The 21410-nt window shown below is 33.2% G+C and overlaps 1 long non-coding RNA gene across 1 annotated transcript in view; it reads left to right on the top strand.

Moving 5' to 3' along the window:
* LOC105377350 (uncharacterized) overlaps nucleotides 1-17521 on the top strand; it is a 114309-nt gene extending 96788 nt beyond the window's left edge. Inside the window, exon 3 of the long non-coding RNA XR_939033.3 lies at nucleotides 14133-17521. This is a non-coding gene — a long non-coding RNA (uncharacterized LOC105377350). The remainder of the gene's footprint in view (nucleotides 1-14132) is intronic.
* The last annotated feature ends 3889 nt before the right edge of the window (nucleotides 17522-21410 follow it).

The following is a 21410-nucleotide window of genomic DNA, read 5'->3' as shown; positions in this document are numbered from 1 at the left end:
ATACAGCAAAAGATACTATAAATAGACAACTTAGAAAGTGGGATAAAATTTTTGCAAACAGTGCATCTGAAAAAGGACTAATATCCACTCTCTATAAGAAACTTAAATAAATTTACAAGGAAAAACAACCCACCCCATTAACAAGTGGGCAAAGAACATGAACAGATACTTTTTAAAAAAGAAGGCATACATGTGGCCAAGCATATGCAAAAAATCTCAGCACCACTGATCATTAGAGAAATGGAAATAAAAACCACAATGAGATACCATCTCACACAAGTCAGAATGGTTACTATTAAAAAGGAAAAAATAACAGATGCTGGTGAGTTTGCAGAGAAAAAGGAAAGCTTATACACTATTGGTTGGAGTGTAATTTAGATCAACCACTGTGGAAAGCAGTGAGATGATTTCTCAAAGAGCTAAAAACAGAATTATAATTTAACCTAGCAACCCAAAGGAATATAAATCATTCTGTCATGAAGACATATACACATATATGTTCAATGAAGCACCATGCACAGTAGCAAAGACAAGGAATCAATCTAAATGCCCATCAATCTGAATGCCTATTTAAATGTGGTATGTATACACCATGGAATACTATGCAGCCATAAAAAGAATGATATCATGTCCTTTGCAGGAACATGGATGGAACTGGAGGCCATAATCCTTAGCAAACTAACAGGAACAGAAAACCAAATACTGCATGTTCTCACTTATAAGTGGGAGCTAAATGATAAGAACACATGGACACATAGAGGGGAAAAGCAGACACTAGGGCCTACCAGATGCTGGAGGATGGGAGGTGGGAGAGGATCAAGAATAATAATAATAATGATGAGTACTAGACTTAATGCCTGGCTGACAAAAAATTCTGTACAACAAACCCCCATGTCACAGGTTTACCTATATAACCTGTACATGTACCCCTGAACTGAAAATAAAAGTTAAAAAATAAAATAAATAAATAGCTTTTTGAATAAATGAACCACAGGGAAATGAAAACAAATGTGTACAAATTATTAGAAGTGCAAGTTGAAAAATTATTTTTTTAAGTTTTGCACATATATATTTTAATACATGTGCAAATGAGTTATCAAAGTCAACAGTTTTGATATCTTTTAGTCATAGTCTATGTAAATTAACTTGGTTACAATAATGATAATTTACATTCTCATAGCAGTTTATAATTTGCAAAGCACTTTCCATATAGTATTTCATATGATCATTGCCTCCACTGATATTATTGCTATAATTCTTCTTCTCATGTGAGGGGACCAAGACCCAGTTTCCAGTGAGTGTCAAAGCCTGAAGAGTACTCCAGGTATTATTATATCAAGTCTATCTTCCTTCCTCAAACATACTGCCCCTGTGAATCCTCATTACTTGTCATGATTATAATTATGCAGTAAATTTCTATCAACCACACACGATTAGTTGAAATCTATCATATACAGAAAGACAAAATGATCAAGCAAGTAAGTATGACTGATATACTTAGTAACTAGAAGTTTTTATCAATGAAAAAGCTTATATACTCAGAGATTCCATCAATGCCTTTAGTATGAGCTTTGCTCAGTGTCCTTAAGACTAAAACTTGTATAAATGATGCTGTAGTAGCTCCTCCAAATAAATATTAGTAGTAGTAGTATACCTCACTATGTTTGCTGTTTTCACCTTTTTAGTTGTTGGAATCACTTTCCACCTAATCACCAAAATAAGAAACTTGAGATATGTGCTTAGTTCCTAATTTTTCCAGCCTCACCACTATAACCAATTAGTGATAAAATCCAATAAATTTTAATTAGCAAATATTTCTAGACTATATGCACTGTCCAGTGCTATTCTCACTGCAGTAATTCAGGTTCTCCTTATCTTCCACTTGGCCTCTAGTGACAACCTCTTCACTTTTCTTCTTTAAACAGTCTCAGGCAAGTCTCCAATATATCCTCCATGGAATGGTACATCTGTACCCCAACCTAATTGTATCCTCTTCAGTAAGGGAACAGATAATATGTATTTTAGGCTTTGGGCCATATGGGCTCTGTCATAAGAACTAAACTCTGCCATTATAGTATAAACCATACATAGACAATATATAAATAAATGAGTGTGACTATGTTTCTACTACATTTTATTAGAAAAAGATTGTGGGTCAAATTTGGCCCATAGGCCATAGTTGCCAATGCCTGTTCTCAGATAATAGAGACCTTGTTTTCATCTATACCATCAGCATCTAGAAGCATATAATAGGAGCTGTACAATAGTTAGAGCTTTACATAGTAGAGGCATTACAATAAAGTAAAAATTTATTGAAAAATTAATTACTAATTCCAAAAAAGGAATAGATAGTGGATGACCAAAAGTCAAATGTCATCCCCAAGAACCTTTATGTATAAACTGAGATATTAAGTTATTCATTCACTAGGAAAGAAATCGTCCAAAAGAAAAAAAATTATAATCTTCATATTGTATATAATAAGTTTAAATTCTCTGTAAGGTAGCTTGAGTGTTTGATAGGCTCTGTGCTGGAGTTGTAAATTTTGGAGTCAGTAGCATAATAGTCATATGCACTGAGGGAGTCAATGAGTAAAATCCAAATGCATGAGTAAAAAGTACCAGGAATGGCTGGGCATGGTGACTCATGCCTGTAATCCCAGCACATTGTGAGGCCAAGTCAGGTGGATCACTTGAGGTTAGGAGTTTGAGACCAGCCTGGCTAGCATGGTGAAACCTCGTCTCTCCTAAAAATACAAAAATTAGAAGGGCATGGTGGCAGGCACCTGTAATCCCAGCTACTCAGGAAGCTGAGGCAGGAGAATCGCTTGAAGCCGGGAGGCAGAGGTTGCAGTGAGTGGAGATCTGCAGGGAGGGGAGATCACACCACTGCACTCCAGCCTGGGTAACAGAGCAAGACACTGTCAAAAAAAAAACAAAAAAAAAAGTACCAGGAATATAAGGAGAATACCTACTTCCAAAGAGCTACAATGAAACTAAATTCTATGTAGAGAGGTCTGAGGGATAGGCAAAAATGAAAGAAACAATTTTGAATAAAATAATTTAATAAGAGTCAAGGGTGAAAATATTTGAAAGAGTAAAGAAGTCAGCAACAAAGGTAAATGCCACCAAAATATTAAGTTAATCTGATGAAAGTACTCATGAACTTAGAATTAAGAAGTCATGAAACACCTTAATTTAGTACAATAAAAGGAAAAACCAAATGGTGATACTGAATAAGAGATAAGAAAGTAAAGGTGGTGAGGGTGCAGTATTTTAAAACAAAGAAAAAGAGAACTGAGTTATTATAACTTGCAATATTGTCAAAGAATTTGCTTAATTCTTTTCTTGGCTTATTTATGAGTTTCTATAAAATAGAAAAGTACTGTGCATGTGTAAAGGGTTAGAATAAGTCAATACATAAGAATAAATCAAATATTTCACAAAATTAGGGGAAATGATAGATAAAGTTTTCAAAACAGAAAATGGGGAAAATAGCTATAACAACGTTGTCCTAAGACAGCAGAAGAAACACAACTTCATCTGAAACTGTCAGGAGAAGGTAAAGATAGAAGTAAAGATATATGTTAAAGGTTAATAAGAAGCCAAAAAGTCAGACAATAGTCTTGACTTTTCATGTAGAAAAAGAAAATAATAAAGTAAGCTTAATAGCTGAGGAAAAGAGAGAAAAGAGGAATTATTTAGAGCTCAAGGAAATGTATGTTTCAAATACATTTTGAGGTAAATGGGAAATGTTAATCATTAAATATATGTAATAAGATTGCAGAATAGTATGGAGGGCACAGTTATGAGTAAATCATAAATCTCTAATGACACAACTTGCAATGTTAGGAGATTTTATTTCACATCGTTCAGCAGCAAGATATAGTTTCTGAGAAATATGTTTAAAATTACCCATGATTGGGCATTTGGAAGGTATATAAAATCAAAGAGCAACAAGGTAAAGGAAGGAGGTTTCTGCCAATAAATAGTAGCTGAAATGATGCTGCGTAGTTGCCAGTGTCATAGTGATAGAATCAAAGCTGCAAGACAGCTGGTTAAAGTGGACATCAAGGACTGCAGATCACTATGAAGCTAGGGATGTATCTCATAGAAATGAACAATAATATCAGAAGGATAAATTACTTTCAGAAATGAAATACTGAAATATTTACCTCAAAAGCAGAAACATATGGTCAATGATGAAGATGAACTTGTAGCTATAATTATTGATGACTGATGTAGGGTGCAGGTAAAGGTAAGCAAAACTCAGGACATCAAAAAAAAAAAAAAAAAAAAAAGGTGAGGCTAGGGTGTTATAATTGCAATCTACTGAAGCAGACCCTGCAGTGTCCGGTGCTGCCCCATTACCCTTACCAATTACTAGCCTTTTGCTTTTAACTTTTAACTGCTATCTTTTGCACATTATTTGTTTGAGGGTTTTTCCTAGCTTCTGGAGCTTGCTTTGTTACCTATAAGGTAGGATGGAAATGCTGGGAAATTAGTGCCCTTCTTCTCCCTAAAGCTCTTAAACAGTGAGAGACCAGCTCCCTCACCCCTTCAGTGGGTGTAACTTATCTTGGCTAGCAAGATTTCTCTGGTAGAAATGAGTTTCAGTCTTCAGTGATAAGCTAGCTTGAACACAAACCCATTACAGGTTCTGTTCTCTTCCTTGACTAAGTTGTTTCTCTTCCCTCACATTCTTATCTTAAAGTTCTGTTTTAGTCAGAAGGTAACTTCAATGAGGAGTGTTAAATGGTATATATTTATACATGTGGGTTGAAATAGAACAATTTGAAAAGCAAATTGATAACTATAAAAATGGTTGATACAACCCTTTTTCCTAATGACATCAATACATGCCAATTATCCATTGGAGAAGAATGAAGGAAACATGGCTCAAAGAACAAGCCCATGGTCACTCATTCAGCAGATACTTATTGAATATCTACTAGGTACCGGCAATAGTCTAGGTTTCAGAGACACAAAAATAAGTAAGATAGAATTTATGTTCTGAATGTTTTTGCAGGCTATTACATGAGTTAAACCTATAATCAGAAATTTCTGATGAATTATAAAAGGAATGACTAAAACACTAATAGTGAATTGGCATAGAGGAAACATATCTTAAAATCTAGGAGAGTCAGAGGAGACTTCATGAAAAGGGTGTTAAACAAAACCAGGGCCACCCAGAAATTAAAGGAGTGCAGATAAATTTTATCATTAAAAACTATTGCAATAAGGGGAAAAATTTATGGTAGAGAACTTAACTCATTCATAAATACATCAGGCACAAGTAGGAATGTATAGACAATGAGCAGAATGGGAGTCAGAGTATGGAAAATTACTAAGAGGAAGTATCAGGTCAGTAATTGAAGGTGATCGGATATCAAGCATTGGGGATTCTTTCTAAACCAACTTAGCAAGATTCTTGCCTAAACTGGGTGGTGCAGGCCTAGTAAAGACAGATGCCAAGGTTGAGACCTAGACAGCTCAGAAGAGCCTGATCAAAGTTTAGTCAAGGAGAGAATGAATCTTAGTCGGAGGTGACCTCTAAATTAAGTTTCACAATAAAGTGATGTTGACCAGGTGAAGGGGTAGAGGTAAAAGGGGTGGCTATTTTAGGAAGAGAGGAAAGATAATGCCACATAGGCTAAAAATGGCAGGTTAAGTGCCAGAAATTACAAGAGGTTTAGTGCTTCTGGAATTTAGACAGAAGAAAAGATAAATACATTTTGGGAAGCCAAGTAGGGTGCAAAATTATTCATTACATGTCAGTTCATGGAGTTTGTGAATGTATTTCAGGCAATGAGGTTTCAATGATGAAATTTGAATAAACAAAGGAACCACCTCTATTAGGTGTGTGTGTTTGAGTGTGCATGTGTATGTGAGAAAGAGAGAGAAGATAATAAATGTACCAATACATTTATAAGTAAGGAAAATAGCAGAGATTGGTATAGAACATATATTTGGTGAAGTGATAATATATGGGTGAATTCTTTAGATGTTTTGGTTTAGTAAACCAACCTTGTAAAAGAAGAATTTCAGGAGATATTTAAGTGATAAGAAGAAGCCAGTTATTTGAAGATACAGAATATGACATTAAAAGCCAGAGAGAACAGCTAGTGCAAAGGGCCTGTGGTGGATTTATTTTGCTTTGTCAGAAGAAAAGGAATAAAGACAAGACAGCTGGAAGATATTGGGTAGGAGAGGGAGTAAAAAGAGATGTAGTTGGGTAGTAGGAACATTCTAGTTCAAAAACGGTTTTAGAAGCCAGAGTAAGTAGTTTTGTATCTTATTTTAACTGGGATCTATTTGAGGCAGAATAATGAGCCCCCAAAGAGGTATACACCTTAATCCCTGTAACCTGTAAATATGAAACATTACATTGCAAAGGGGAGTTAAAGTTTATAACCTGCTAATCTCAAAATAGATCACCCTGGATTATTTGTGTAGGCCCAATGTAATCACAAGCATCTTTAAAAATGAAGAGGAAACAAAAAGAGAGGGTCAATGGAAAATATGAGTATGAAAGAAGGGCACAGAGAGATGTAATGTTGCTGGATTTCAAGGTGGAGAAAGGGCCATGAGCCAGGACTATGGCTGGTCACTAGAAGCTAGAAAAGAGAAGGAAACGAGGATGTCCCTTAGAGCCTCTGGTATACAACAAAGCTTTGCTGGCAGCTTAACTTAGGTTCAGGAGACCTAGGTTAAACTTCTCATCCAGTACTGTAAGATAAATTTGTGTTTCTTCAATCTACTAATTTTGTGGTAATTTGTTACAGCAGTAATAAAGTAATACTGTTAACAAGCAAGGGGATTGCAATATCTGCATATGGTTTTGAAACTCCTTGTGCTTAACTATATGGGCAGTGGATCTTGGTACAAAAACAGCAAGAGCAAGGAGGCCAGTTATGAGTTGTCTACTGTAGTTCAAGTATAAAATGGACAAGTCGAACAAGAATATTCAGAAAACACATAAAGAGAAGTGGATGTGTTTGGGATATAATTTGGAATTAGAATTGAGATAACTTCTTCATTGATTGCATTTGGGGAGTGAAATAAAAATAAATATCCAGGAAAATGCATACATTTTAACATTACACATTTTGGTATATTTTATAGAAGTGGAGAAGAAAGTGCAAGGGCAAGTTTAGGAAGTAAATTTGAGAATCATAAGTATACAGATGTTTTAAAAGCCATAGGTCTGGATTAAGACAAGAAGGGAGAATATTTTTCAAGAGAAAAGAAGGAGATGCAGTTCATAGCCATGGGACACTTCAAAAATTAACAGTAAAAGGCAAGACAAGAAAGTGAGGTACCTAGAAAGAGTGGTCAGGGACATAAGAAGACAATAAGAGTTACATGACACCGAGTGTTTCTAGAAAAATATGGTCTCAAATACTGCTAAGAAGTTGATGAGATGAGATAAAACCATTGCATAGAGGTCATTAGGGATCTTGACAAAAATTTCAGTGAAGCGGTGGGAACAAGAACCCAACTAAAGTCAGCTGAGAATAGACTGAGAGACCACAAAGAGTAGAAAGTGATTTATTGGCAATCATGTCAATAAATCAGGCTATAAAGGGAAACATCAATATGACATAATAATTATAGTAAGGTGTCAACAAAATAATTCTCCTGAAACACAAATGAAGAATTTTATACGTTAATTTTTCTATTCCCATCCTACACAGAAACACAGCCCTTAACTTGTTGTTCACCTCAAGTACATTTATTAATTATTCAGTCATTTATTTATTTACTCATGAATTTCCAATAAATGTTTATTGAGCACATATAGATAGTACTGAGTTATTATCTAGAGAGAGGTCAGATATCTAAGTTTACATTTAGATGTCATAAGCATAAAGAAGACATATGTAAAATATATAGAGAATTTTACAGTTTCAGGTCTTACATTGATGTCTTTTGTCTATTTTGAGTTGATCTTTATGTATGGTGTGAAAAAAGGGTCCACTTTCATTTTTATGCATGTGGGTATCCAGTTTTTGCAGCACCATTTATTAAAGTGAGTGTCCTTTTCCCATTGTATTTTCTTGGTGCCGTTGTTGAAAATCAATTGACTAAAACCTTGGTTTTATTTCTAGACTTTCTATCCTGTTCCATGGGTCTTTGTGTCTTTTTTTTTATGCCGTACCATACCCTTTTGGTTACAATAGCTTCATCATATATTTTGAAATCAGAGAATGTGATGTCTCCAGCTTTGTTATTTTTGCTCGAGATGGCTTTGACTATTCATGTTCTTTTCTAGTTTAGTAAAAAATTAGGACTGTTTTCCTATTTTGACAATGAAATTTTTAAAGGAATTGCATTGACTATGCAGATCACTTTGGCTAGTATAGACATTTTAACAATATTAATTTTTAAAATCCATAAACATGGAATATCTTTCCATTTATTTGGTTTTTATTCAGTTTCTTTCCTCAATATTTCACAGTTTCCAGTGTATAAATATTTTACCTCCTTGGTAAAATTTACATTAAGTATTTAATGTTTTTATACTCTTACAAATTAAATTTTCTTAATTTCTTTTTCAGATAATTCACTGTTAGTGTTTAGAAAGACTAATGATTTCTGTAAGTTGATTGTGTAACCTGTGACTTTATCAGTTCAAAATTTTTTTGTGTGTATGGAGTCTTTAGGGTTTTCTGTACCTAAGATTATATCATCAGCAAACAGAGGCAATTTAACTTCTGCCTATCCTATGTGGATGCCTTTTATTTGTTCTTCTTGCCTAATTGCTCTGGATAGAACTTCCAGTACTATGTTGAATAGAAGTAGCTAGGGTGGGTATGCTTGCTTTGTTCCTGATCTTAGAGAAAAAGTTTTCAAGTTTTCACCATTAAATATGCTGTTAGCTGTGAGCTGGTTATATATGGCCTTTAGTGTGTTGAAGTACATTTCTTCTATACTTATATTTTTGAAAGTTTTAATAATAAATGTTGCATGTTGTCTAATGCTTCTTAGGCATCTTTTGAGATGATCATGTGAGTTTTATCCTTTATATTGTTGATATGATGTCTCACATTTATTGACTTATTTAAGTTGAACCATTCTTGCATCCCTGGGATAAATCTAACTTGATCATGATAAATAATCTTTTTAATGTGGTGTTGAATTCAATTCACCCATATTTTGTTGAGGATTTTTTCATCTTTGCTCATCAGGGCTACTGGTTTGTTAGTTTTCTTTTCCTGTAGCATCCTTGTCTGGCTTTAATACCAGGGTAATGCTGGCCTTGAAAAAATCAGTTTGAAAGAAAACATAGGGGACAAGCTCCATAACATTGGACTGGGCAATAGTTTCTTGACTAGAAATCCCAAAGCACAGGCAACTAAAGGAAAAATAGACAAATGCAATTGCATTAAAGTAAAAACATTCTGTAGAACAAATAAAACAATAGATTGAAGAGACAACAGATTGGGAGAAAGTATGTGCAAACCATACATCTGATAAGGGGCTAATATCCAAAATATATAGAAAATGAAAAACAAATTACCAAACTAAAATGAGTAAAAGATCTAAACAGAGATTCTCAAAAGAAGAGACATAATTGGCCAACAGATACATTAAAAATAATCAACATCTCTAATAATCAGAGAAATGCCAATTTATACCCCAATACAATATCACCTCACTCCTATTAAAGTGGCTATTATAAAAAAATTGAATAATAATAAGTGTTGCTCAGAATATGAAGAAAAAGGAACTCTTTTACACTATTGCTGAGAATATAAATTAGTGCAGCAATTTTGGAAAATAGTATGGAATTACCTCAAAGAACTAAAAATAGAATCACTGTATGATTCAGCAATCCCACTTCTGGATATACATCCAAAGGAATTGAAATTGATATGTCAAAGAAATATCTGCATTCCCATGTTTATTTCAGCATTATTCAGAATAGCCAAGATTTGAGAGCAAAATAAGTGCCTATAAACAGATGAATAGATTTAAAAATGTTATACACACACACACACACACACACACACACACAATGGAATACTCCACAGCCTTAAAAAGGAAGTTCTATCATTTGTGACAGCATGGATAAAACTGGAGGATATTACGCTAAGTGAAATAAGTTAGGCACAGAAGGATAAATATTGTAAGATCTCACACGCGGAATCTAAAAAGTCAATCTCCTACAAATGGAGAGTAGAAAAGTGATTCCTGAGATTGGGGGGAAGGGTTGTGGAAAGGGAAGATGTAGATAAAAGGATATAAAATCTTAGATAGGAGGAAGAAATTTTCATGATCTTTTGCACTGCATGGTGACCATGGTTAATAATAATATATCATATATTTCAAAATTGCTAAAATAATAGATTATTCACAATCTAACTACAAAAAAGTGATACATTGGTGAGATGATGGATATATTAATAAGATTGATTGAATCTTTCTACAGTGTATGTAGAGATAAAAAATTACATTGTATCCTACAAATATATGCAATTATTATTTGTCCATTAAAACAAATACATACATTTTTTAAAAAGATATATATGACATCTGGTTTCTAAGAATGATAACTCAGCAATTTCTTTGGATTATAATGCTTCATATATTAAAAATATTAATTGCCCAAAACCATTGTTATAAACTATTAATAGCTCTGTTCAAAATTTTATAGTTTCCAGTATATAAATATTTTACCTCCTTGGTAAAATATACTCTAAGTATTTAAAACTACTTTGTACAACTACTTCTTTTTAATGGACTGACTTTATGGCTCTCTTTAACACATACTTCGTATTTTTATCTATCAGTGCTCTGCCTTTGCCTTAAGAGCTGTGTATGCATCAGCTCCACCCACAGAAAGAGTAGCCATAGAAATTTAAGCCCTTACTCAATATTTTATATCTTCCAGAAGTCTTCTGCATAATCACGTATTTAGCCAGAAAAAAAATATCTTTTTGCTTTGAATTTTTGCCTCAGTTCTTGTATGTACTGTATGCATGAGTTTATCATATTGTTTGCCTTGCTTTGTGGGAAAGGAGATCATACCTGTTTTTTTGTTTGTTTTTGTTTGTTTTGTTTTTTTGAACTATGCTCTTGAAAGTATCTTTCCAGAGTGTTTAAACTTAGGAACTTTTGATGACTCTACATTAAATATATATTCTGCAGTGCCTCATGGAATAATTAGGGAAAGGCAACACAAAACCGAGCTCTCAACGTACTGAGATTATAGATTTGGACCATATTCTAACTGCTGTATTTACTAGTGGCTACATACAAACAAATCCCTCCAAATCTAACTTAACGAAATAAGATTCTACAAATTCTCAAAGACACTTATAACCAATGTGTTATTCAATGAATGCTATCTGATTTCATTTAGTATTCAGTTGATAGAAGAATAACATGAATTCATATAGGTCCATTCAGATCTTCTTTTCACCTCTTTATAGTCAAGTGTCATGACAGGTCCAGTAAGTTGAACTTAAAATTTGAGAATTTATGTTAAATAAAGAAAAACTTCATCAGCACTTTTCTTTATCAACAATAGATTATTTTAGATATTGAAATGTCAAAATTACTCTTAAAAGTTAGAAAAAATCCCCATAACTTCTTAAGATGATTTAAATTGGAGTAATTCTGAGTTTCATTTTGGAGAAAATTGCAAATGATCAGACTTTTCCCATAGGAGTTATAGTACTTACAGGTTTGGGTTTAAATTATAAATACCTCAGAAATTGCCTTACTCATGGTGTTTCAAATTATTCCCAGTTGTCTCCTACTGAAACAAAGAAGCATGACTATACCTGTATGTAGTGATGGGAAAAAACTGTTCTACTGTTGGAAAGGTTACATTTAGTTCAAGTTTGGATCTGGCCTTTACATGTGCTAAACTAGTTTTTCAATAATTACAAAAAGGGAAGGATTCAGTTACTCTTGCTCTGTGTGCATGTTTTGTTACATTTGAAATTTACTTCACAGTTTCTTAGCATTTTGGAGGGGAGGGTATCCATCTAAATGTACAAAAGTGTCATTAAGACAAATGACAAACATTTCTCCATTATAGCACATATCACAGTTTCAGAATCAGCATTATGACATCTTATTAAAATTAAAATTTTTGTATACTATGACAGTATGTGGAACCCTAATAAATTATTTCACATTTTTAAATCTTCAAAATGTATATTACATATTAAATTGTTGCATATCATATACTAAATTAAGAAAAGTGGGCATTCAAAAAAGAGTGGCTAGAGACAAGTTAAATAATGAGAGTCACATTAGAAAAAAAGAGAAATTAATTTGAATTCCATTTAGAATTTCCAGATACTCTTTGAAAGAAGAATCAATTCATTACAAAGAAGTATTTCATAGCAACTAGGCAATATGTTTTCAGCCTGAACCCCGCAGGCACTGTCTCCGCCCTTCTTGGTGGCAGGTAAAATAGAATTTGGCAAAAGAAAAATCATCTGCTTTATGCATAGATTAATAAACGGTGTTAGCTAGATGTCAAAAAAATCAGCTTTATTTTGTAAGCACTAGAAAATCACAACCTTGAGTTTTTAGTTTCTTTACACATTTCAACCTCCTACTTATGTAGCTATTCATTATTATTTTTTTGATTTATAAAATGCAAAATATTCATTTCCTTCTTAAATTTTCTAAAATTATAAAAATAAATTCAAATGTAAATGATCAATAACTGTATATCTTGCAATAAGTAATACAAATTGAACTGTTTTTATGAAGTCCAGACTAAAAATGTTAGAATATAAATGCTGGAGATTATACGGCAGTTCGTTACATATAATTAGTTGTCTCATTCCCAATTCCACAAGAAGAAAAACTTAAGAAGCTATGGTTTCCTACAAAATTTGTAATAGGTGGAATGATTTTCAGGACACAGAACAAGTATTGTAGCCCAAAGATAAATTTTTATCCCTAATTCATACAGTGATCTACTCTTGTTTCTGGTACCTCCTGCTGGTGATTAAGAGTCTTAAGAAGGTCCAACACATGGACCTTGAAAACATGAGGCCCACTGAAAGATGATAGTCACAAAAGAGCACACATTGTATAATTCCATTTATACAAGCTGTTGAGAATAGGCAAATTTGTGGAGACAGAAGTTAAACTAGTAGTTGCCCGGGGGAATGGGGAATGACTGCTAATGAGCAAGAAATTTCTTTTTGGGGAGATTAAAATGCTCTAAAATTAGACATTAGGGATGGTTGCACAACTTTATGAATATACTAAAAACAAAATGACTGAAATGTACAGGTAAAAGGGTAAATTTTGTGGTTGGCAAATTGTATCTTGATACAACTTTGGAAATTTGGGGGTATGCAAGTCATTATTTAATTTGGTCTTTAATTTGCCAACTAGACTATCCAGGTTTAATACTATTGATTATTTTTAAAATAGTCTTTCACACAATGTTTTACAGAACACATAGCTCTTTTATATACATTATCTTTCTTAAACCCACAATAGACCTATTACTGAAATCTCATTTTAAGGAAGTATCATTTTAAGGAAGAAGATTTTAAGGTCAGGAGAAATTGAATGATTTGTCCAGTGTTAACGATCTAGTGAGCTACATGTTTAGGAGTTTTCTCACATCAAATCCCATGATCTTTCCTGACATCACAGATGACTCCTTGAAGATTTTACTTAGAGCAGTGCACAAATCAATAGGAATGAAATAGAAAGAGTCAGAATTCCAGAGAGGACTGCTTTGGTCATAACTGCTATTTCTAGAGAAAAATGTGGATGGTGCAGAATGAGAAGTCAGTTGCAATTTGTTGTTTCATTCCATGTTCTCAGCACCCTTGTAGAAAGAAACTTCTGAGTATGGAGTTATGATTAGACAAGGGATGTTTTTTCATAAGAAGAGTGAGAACAGAATTGATCCAGTAAAATGTAAAATAGAATAGGCAAATACATGGGAAGAAATGGAGCTGAACTTTTCTAGAAAGTTTATTATTATTAGAGCTATGAAATAAACTTTAGTAATCATCAAATATCCTATGTTTCTGTATAAGAATCATTTAACTAGTTGTGTCAAGGAAATGTGAGCAAGAGTAAAGAATATAATTTCTACACAGAGGAAGTGAAAACCTGATGTACCACCTTCATTTTTCTAGGTCTTGCTTGACTCATCTCTGCTGTGGTGACCTTGGAGGCTTCATATTCCAGATTGCACAGCCATAAGATGAAAGAAGACTTCTCACTCACATTAGACTCTGAGGTGAGAGAGAAAAAATATATTTTTCTACCAAGACAGTAAGATTTTAAAGTTTATTTCTTATTGCAGAATAGCTTATTCTATCCTTGCTAACTTAAAGTTAAGTGATGCCTTACTTTTATCCTTCATATGGTGTTGGTGTAGCAGTTGGCTAAAGCACTGGAGAAACCAATTAGAATCTCAAAAATTGGCAACCCATATTAGATCCAGGCCAAAGAGTAATATTGTGGCCTGATATAATGGGGCGGCAGGCTGTTTGTGTGTTGACTACTGTTGGTTGTGTTTGGCAGATTAATAATATAGAAACATAATTAGGAAACAACCAAGTCATAAACAAAAATGGAAAGACACAGAATCCCTCAATTTAGAGGTTTGATCAATTGGAAAATGTTTCCAGGTATGGGATAAAACATTTGAGCAATAAAGTCCCAATAAACTTAATTAATGCAGAACAAGAACCCAATTAAGGGCACAGTCTTTTCTTTCAAGCCTGATAGCCTTAATGTAGCTATCATGAAAGAGGTGGGGGGTATGAGGGTAAGAAAGCAAAAATTAATAAATAATAAGAAAGACAGATCTGAAACCAGTTGTCTCAAAAAGAACTTCTTTGGAAAGGGTTATTGACACATGGAACTGACTGGAAGAAAAATAGATTAGAACCTGAGATGTGCTATCAATAAAATATCTTCGAGGATTTAAGACCTAAAATAATGCCCTTGGACTTTCGATCACTCTCAAGCTGAAATTCAACTTAGAAAGCTGTGCATCCACCAAAAAGAGGATATTCACTAACTCTCACTTTTAAAATAGTGATAATAGAAAGGGAAGAAACTTTTGGGAAGAGAATCCAGGAGCTAAAGAAAAATGTGAATTTAAGAGTTCCTAGCAGAAAGCAGAATTATGAACCAATGAACACAAATTTCTCGAATTCCCTGGGTAGGGGCCTTCACAGTGTTTGCTATATATCTCCCGTTGTCGTATTTCCTGGAAAATAGTTTTATTATGGTTGCAAACTTGTGCTATCATTTTTTTATTTTGAATGCCTTTAGAAGAACACCTAACTTGTGTTGTTAATTCATAAGGCACCACATCAGTAGGAAACACATTTGGACTTGATGGAGAGAACCATGTGGATAAGCTCTCCTTGATTTTTTTCCTAGGGAAATGGAGGAAAACAGACATTGGGAGGCAACTAGTTGTGTCAACCCTTTGTGTGACAACAATAAATTTGTCACAGAAAGTAATACCCAAGGAAGTCATCCACTTTTGGCCATTTTATACTGAAATTTATTTTTAAAAAAGGGTAACAAGAGGGTTGGATCCATATTCTACCCATTTAGATGGGAAATATTTATCAGTTTCTACTTCTTATATGCTGCTTTTATTGTTTTGTTTTGTTTTTGAATGGCGGTAGTATGTGGACATATGGGAAACTCTAAAATAGTGCATCTAGGGTTACATTTTTCTCTTTCAGCTACCTTTAGTTTATATATAATCATTATCCATCTTCTGGTAACAGACCTCTCCTCAATGGCCATATTTGTGGGCATATGGCACAAAGTCAAATATATTACTTTAGCTTTCTTCATCATAATGACTATCTCAGGAACTGAGCACATGGGTCCCAATAATTGCATTTTACATGACACTAGCCAGTGGTCATGAGACTGTAAGAAAGTAAATCCAGATCTTTAGGTGCTAGTATTACCCTGCTTTGTGGATAAACTGGATTTGATATAATGATGTTAATACATGAAGAAGAACCAGATTTTTTAAGAGGCAGAAGGAGGAAATTCTCCATTTATTTAAGTTTCTATGATTTACTGGGGCTAATACACACTTGCTCTTTCTAGTGATAAATTTGTGTATTAATGGAAGCAATATTCCTCTTTTAATTTACCTTAGTTTGACTTGGATTTTGACACTGTCATTCAAAATTACTTCTAATTAATTTACTTATAGCTGTATTACTAAATGGTAAATGGTCACAACATTTTCCTGTGTATTTTTCCAGAAAATTTCCATCCATGTATATACTTGTCTATCTAGATATAACATGTAGTGTATTGAGTATTTTTGTGCAACTTAATTTTTACTTAATAGAAAATTGTCTATTACACTTTGTTTATATATCCTATAATTTATTTCATGTGGTTCCAGCCCAGTTCGGTTTACTGTAGTGGAAAAAAAATATTAAAAAACCCACTCCTTTCAATAAACTTAGATTATCAGACCTAGGAAAATATTATTTCAGCGTGGCCCAGAATGATCCTCACCAAGGGGAATTGCATTTAGAATGGCCTTTGCAAAGGCTCTAGGTTGAATATGCTTAGTGTACTGGAGTAAAGCTGATGCTATGATGGAAAGTGATGAGTTGAAGTCACAGAGGTTTTGGAAGTTCCTATGGGTTATGGGAATTCCTGAAGCACTTTTAGTAGAGGACAGAAAAGATCTAATTTAAGTGTTAAAAACAATACCTGGGCATCTGTAAAGAAAATTGATCAGAGAACCACATGCAATACAGAAACCAATTGGGAAGTAATTGCCATAGAAAAGGCAAGAGATGATGGTGACAGTGTTGAAAAGAGATTTAATTCTGGAAATGTTTTAAAGGAAGTTGTGGGAAGATTTGGATGGATTGACTGGAGGTTAAGATAAAAAGAGAAGAGTCTGACTTCTAAGATAATAACCCAAAGATGAGAAGAATGGAGCTGCCATTTATTGAATAGGAAAAGATGGGGAGAGGAGATAAATTTGTGCAAGCAGTGAGTGGCAATCAAAACGCTAATTTTGGAAATATTAATTTTGAGATGTTGAGAGTATATGAGCCTGGAGTATAGGGGATTTGAACTGGAGAAATCAATTTAAGAATTGTAAGATAAGATTCTCTAGGCAATAAGCAGAGATAAAAAAGGAAGTTGTCCAAAGATTGAATTCAGAGAAACATCAATATTAGAAGTTAGTTAAAAAGTAGACAAAGAAGTAGAATCCATTTAGATGGGGTAGAAACCTGGCAAAATAAGGTAAGCAAGTGTTCAAAAAGAAGGAAGTGATAAAAAAATCAAATGCCATTGCTAAGTTGAATAAAATCCAGACAGAGAATTGACCATGTATTGGTAAAAGTGAAGCCCATGGGTGATCTTGTCATGTGGAGTTTCAGTGAAAAGGTGAAGACAAGTCTGACTGGAATGAATTCAGGAGGGCAAAGGATGAAAATAAGTGGAGGCACAAAGTATTGACAAATATTTTCAGTGTTTCCCTTTAAAAAAAAAAGTGAAAAAAAAAAAAGGTTGCTGTAGAGCAATGAAGTGCCTGGGTTTTTTAAAAAAGATTGAGTATAATAGGGCATGATGGCAATTATTTGGTTTGAATGGAAAAAAATGAGATGCAGAAAACAGAAAAGAGGACAATTGTCTTTTAGTGACCAAAGACAATGCAATCCATTGTGTAAACGAAGGTTTTGGCAAAACAACGGAACAAAATCCACGGAAAAAGTGAAATGAGCACACGGACTGGTAGCTTTGTAGATATTTGTGCGATAATGTTTAGAATTCCTCTTGAAAGTATTACTTTTTAAAGCAAAATAAAAAACAAGGGTATCATCTAAAAATAAAAAAAATGAGAGAAAATATTACTGAAAGTTTGGGAAGTGAGGATAGAGTAGATATAGTTATTGAGGTCTGGGGAAAAAAGTGTGCAGGGGTTACTTGACAGCACTAACAGACCACCTGAGGTTTGTGATAAACAATACAAGCTATGGTGTAAGTTAGTATGGTTTTGAATTCTGCTTCAGTTACATTGCAGGTTGTAGATGCTGAATGAACAGATAATTGAATTTATCTAGATTTGAGGTTTTAGCAGCTATATGCACTGAAGAAAGTGCCAAGGGAATAGGGTGAAAAGCAAAGGGGCAATTCTAATGATGGATCATGAAATCTAAGCTGGAAAATGATGGAAAAAAGCACACGAAATGGGTGAAGGGCAGAAAAATATAGCAGGTCAATGGCAGGGCAATCCCAGTGATGTGGATAAATTTTTGAAATGAGGGAATTCAGGAATTGATCTAGAAATTTGCAAATGAGAAGCCTGAAATTGTTACTACAAAGCGGTATACGATTATTAGAAATGTAGGTCTTAAGTTTATGAGATAAAAATAAGATAAAAAAGAGGGTTACATGAAGAGACATCACTGTGGATATTGAAATTATTAAGAACTATGATAGAAGAAGTATTGGAGAGAGAAAATGAGGCAGAGAAAGGTGAGAATAGGAAGGAAGGGAAACGAAAGAAAGAGTGCTCTGTCTTCAGATATTCAAGAAATATACGGGAGTCACACAAAGTGTGTAACTGGCTCTTACAAATTGGGGTAATTTGTGGTAATTATATGATGAAAAAATTAGTCTCAAGAAGCCTCCCCTTCCTTTGCAATGGCTGCATAGAAAACATTGTATAAACATATAACAATCTGTGTAGCCAGTACCTGATTAAAAAGAATCATAGAAATTGCTAATTCAAAATATACTTCTTTAAATTTTGGAAATTTTTTTCCAACTGATCTCTCAAAAGTTTTTTGAATATCGCTGAGTTCACAGCATCTTTTCATAGCATCTAAATATTTTCTATAACAAATACATCTTTGCCAATCAGATATATTTTAAAAAGTCTCATTTCTTTTTAAAAAGCAGGTTTATGGAGATGTAATTAAGTAACCTACAATTCACCGATTTAAAGTACACAATTCAATTCAATTTAATATATTCCCAGATTTGTGCAACCAATTGCCATAATCAATTTCAGAACCTTTTATCATCTTAAAATAAAATCTTATTCCCACTAGCAGTTGCAACCCATTTGTCTTCAAACTCCATTGCCTAAAATATTACTAATGCACTTTCTGTCTGTATAGCTTTTCTTATTCTGTACATATAAATTGAATAGGACAATATGTGGCCTTTTGTGACTGGCTTATTTCACTTACAATGATGTTCTCAAGGTTCTTCCACGGTGTAGCATGTGTCATTATTTGGTTTATTTTTATGGGTGAATAATATTTCATTGTAAGGATATACCACATTTATTTATCCATTCATCAATTGATGGACGTTTAAATGGTTTTCACTTTTTGGCTGTTATATATAATGCTGCTAAGGACATATAAGTTTTTTGTGTGTTGACAAATGTTTTCATTCCTCTTTACTATTAGGTTGGTGCAAAAGTAATCGTGGTTTTTGCCATTGAAAATGATGGCAAAGAACCGCAGTTACTTTTGCATCAACTTAATAGATAACTAGGAGTGGAATGGCTGTGTTCTATGACAATTCTATGTTTAACATTTTGAGGAACTGCCAAACTGTTACCGAAGGCAGATGTATCATTTTACATTCTCAACAGCAATATATGAAGTTTCCAATTTCTCCGTTTCATTGAAAAACATGTTATTTTCTATCTTTCTGATAATAGCCATTCTAGTAGCTGTGAAGTACATCATTGTAGTTTTGATTTGCAGCCACTTGATCTTAATGACTAATGATGTTAAGCATCTTTACATGTGCTTCTTGGTCATTTGTATATTTTTGGAGAATGTCTAAAACCTTTGCCCATTTAGTATTTTTTTTTATTATTGACTTATCGGAGTTAGTTACATACTCTAGATACAATTTATATGATTTGCAAATATTTTCTTCTAAAGGTTGTCTTTTTTTCTTTCTGAAATTTTATTCGTTTAATGCTATTATAAATGGAATTGTTTTCTTAATTTTGTCTTGAAGCTGTTAATCTTTGATGTATGAAAATACAATTTATTTTATGTATTGATCTTATACCCTGAAATGTTGCTGTACTTGCTTATTAGTTCTAATAGTTTTTTGGTATGGATTTCTTATGGTTTTCTATATGTAAATAGTATTACTTCTTCTTTTCTTATCTGAATATCTTTTATTTCATTTTTTCTTTTCTTCCTTCCCTCCCCTCCCCTCCAGTTCCTTCCTCTCCCTTTCCCTCCCTCCTTTCCTTCCTTCCTTCCTTCTTTCCTTCCTTCCTTCCTTCCACACTGGCTAGAATCTCCAGTGTTGAATAGAATTGGCAAGTTTACACATCTTTGTCTTCTCCTGACCTTAGGGGACAGCATTCACTTTTTCACCACTAAGTATATTAACTCCTGGTTGTTTCGTTTTGGTTTTTGTAGATGCCAATATCAAATTAAGGAAGTTCTCTTCTCGTACTAGTTTGCTGAATACTTTTTTCATAACACAGTGTTGTATTTCTTAAAAAGCTTCTTATGTATCTGTTGAGATGCTTATGTATAATAATATCCTTTTATTCAATTGACATGGTGTAACATATTAATTAATTTTTAGATGTTAGATCAACCTTGGATTCGTGGGATAAATCCCAATTAGTTATGGTATATAATCCTTTTTATATGTTTATGGATTTGATTTTGATTTTGTTGAGGTCTCATTTCCTTTTGTTCTCAATTCATGTTTATAAATCAATCTTAGCTTTTTGTATTTTGTTGAATCTTCTGCTTATATGCTATGCTAATTGTGAATTATTTGACTCTTTCTTATATAATATTAAGATACATCTGTATATTACAGACTTTTGTTTATAATTATAATTTTGATTACTATGTATATGCCAAATTATATTTCATCATAAAATTGTATAGATTTTACAGGCTTTTTTATTGCAAAGGATATGTACAAATATGTTCTGATTTATTAATTTTCTTCATTGGTTCTGGATAAAAAGGTGTATCCTCCAGATATTATATTTTAACTCATTCTTTATTTAAGCATTTTTGAGCTTTAATTTTTAAATTTATAAATTTAATTTGTTTCAACTATTTTGCCATGAGAATTGTAGTAAGAATCCAGTTTTACATTTTTTACTCCTGACTACCACTTTTCCTAAGCTAACTTCATTTTGTTTTCCACTCTATTTAGAGAGCCTAATCAATGCCTACTAAACCATAGGCTGTCAGTAGGAATTTGTTGAATTAAGCAGTGAAAGAAAACAGATTATTACATTATATATTACTCTATTATGTCTAAAATGAATAAAACAAATGAACAAAACTTGGTACATTATTTGATGTTTCCTAAAAATGTCAGAATATTTTTGTGTATATTTGTGTGTCTGTGTCTGAGAAAAAGAGACAGTGAGAAAGAATATC

The sequence above is a fragment of the Homo sapiens genome, chromosome 4, assembly GCF_000001405.40.
Source record: "Homo sapiens chromosome 4, GRCh38.p14 Primary Assembly".
NCBI classification, from domain to species: domain Eukaryota; kingdom Metazoa; phylum Chordata; class Mammalia; order Primates; family Hominidae; genus Homo; species Homo sapiens.
This window is presented reverse-complemented; position numbering and strand designations above follow the sequence as displayed.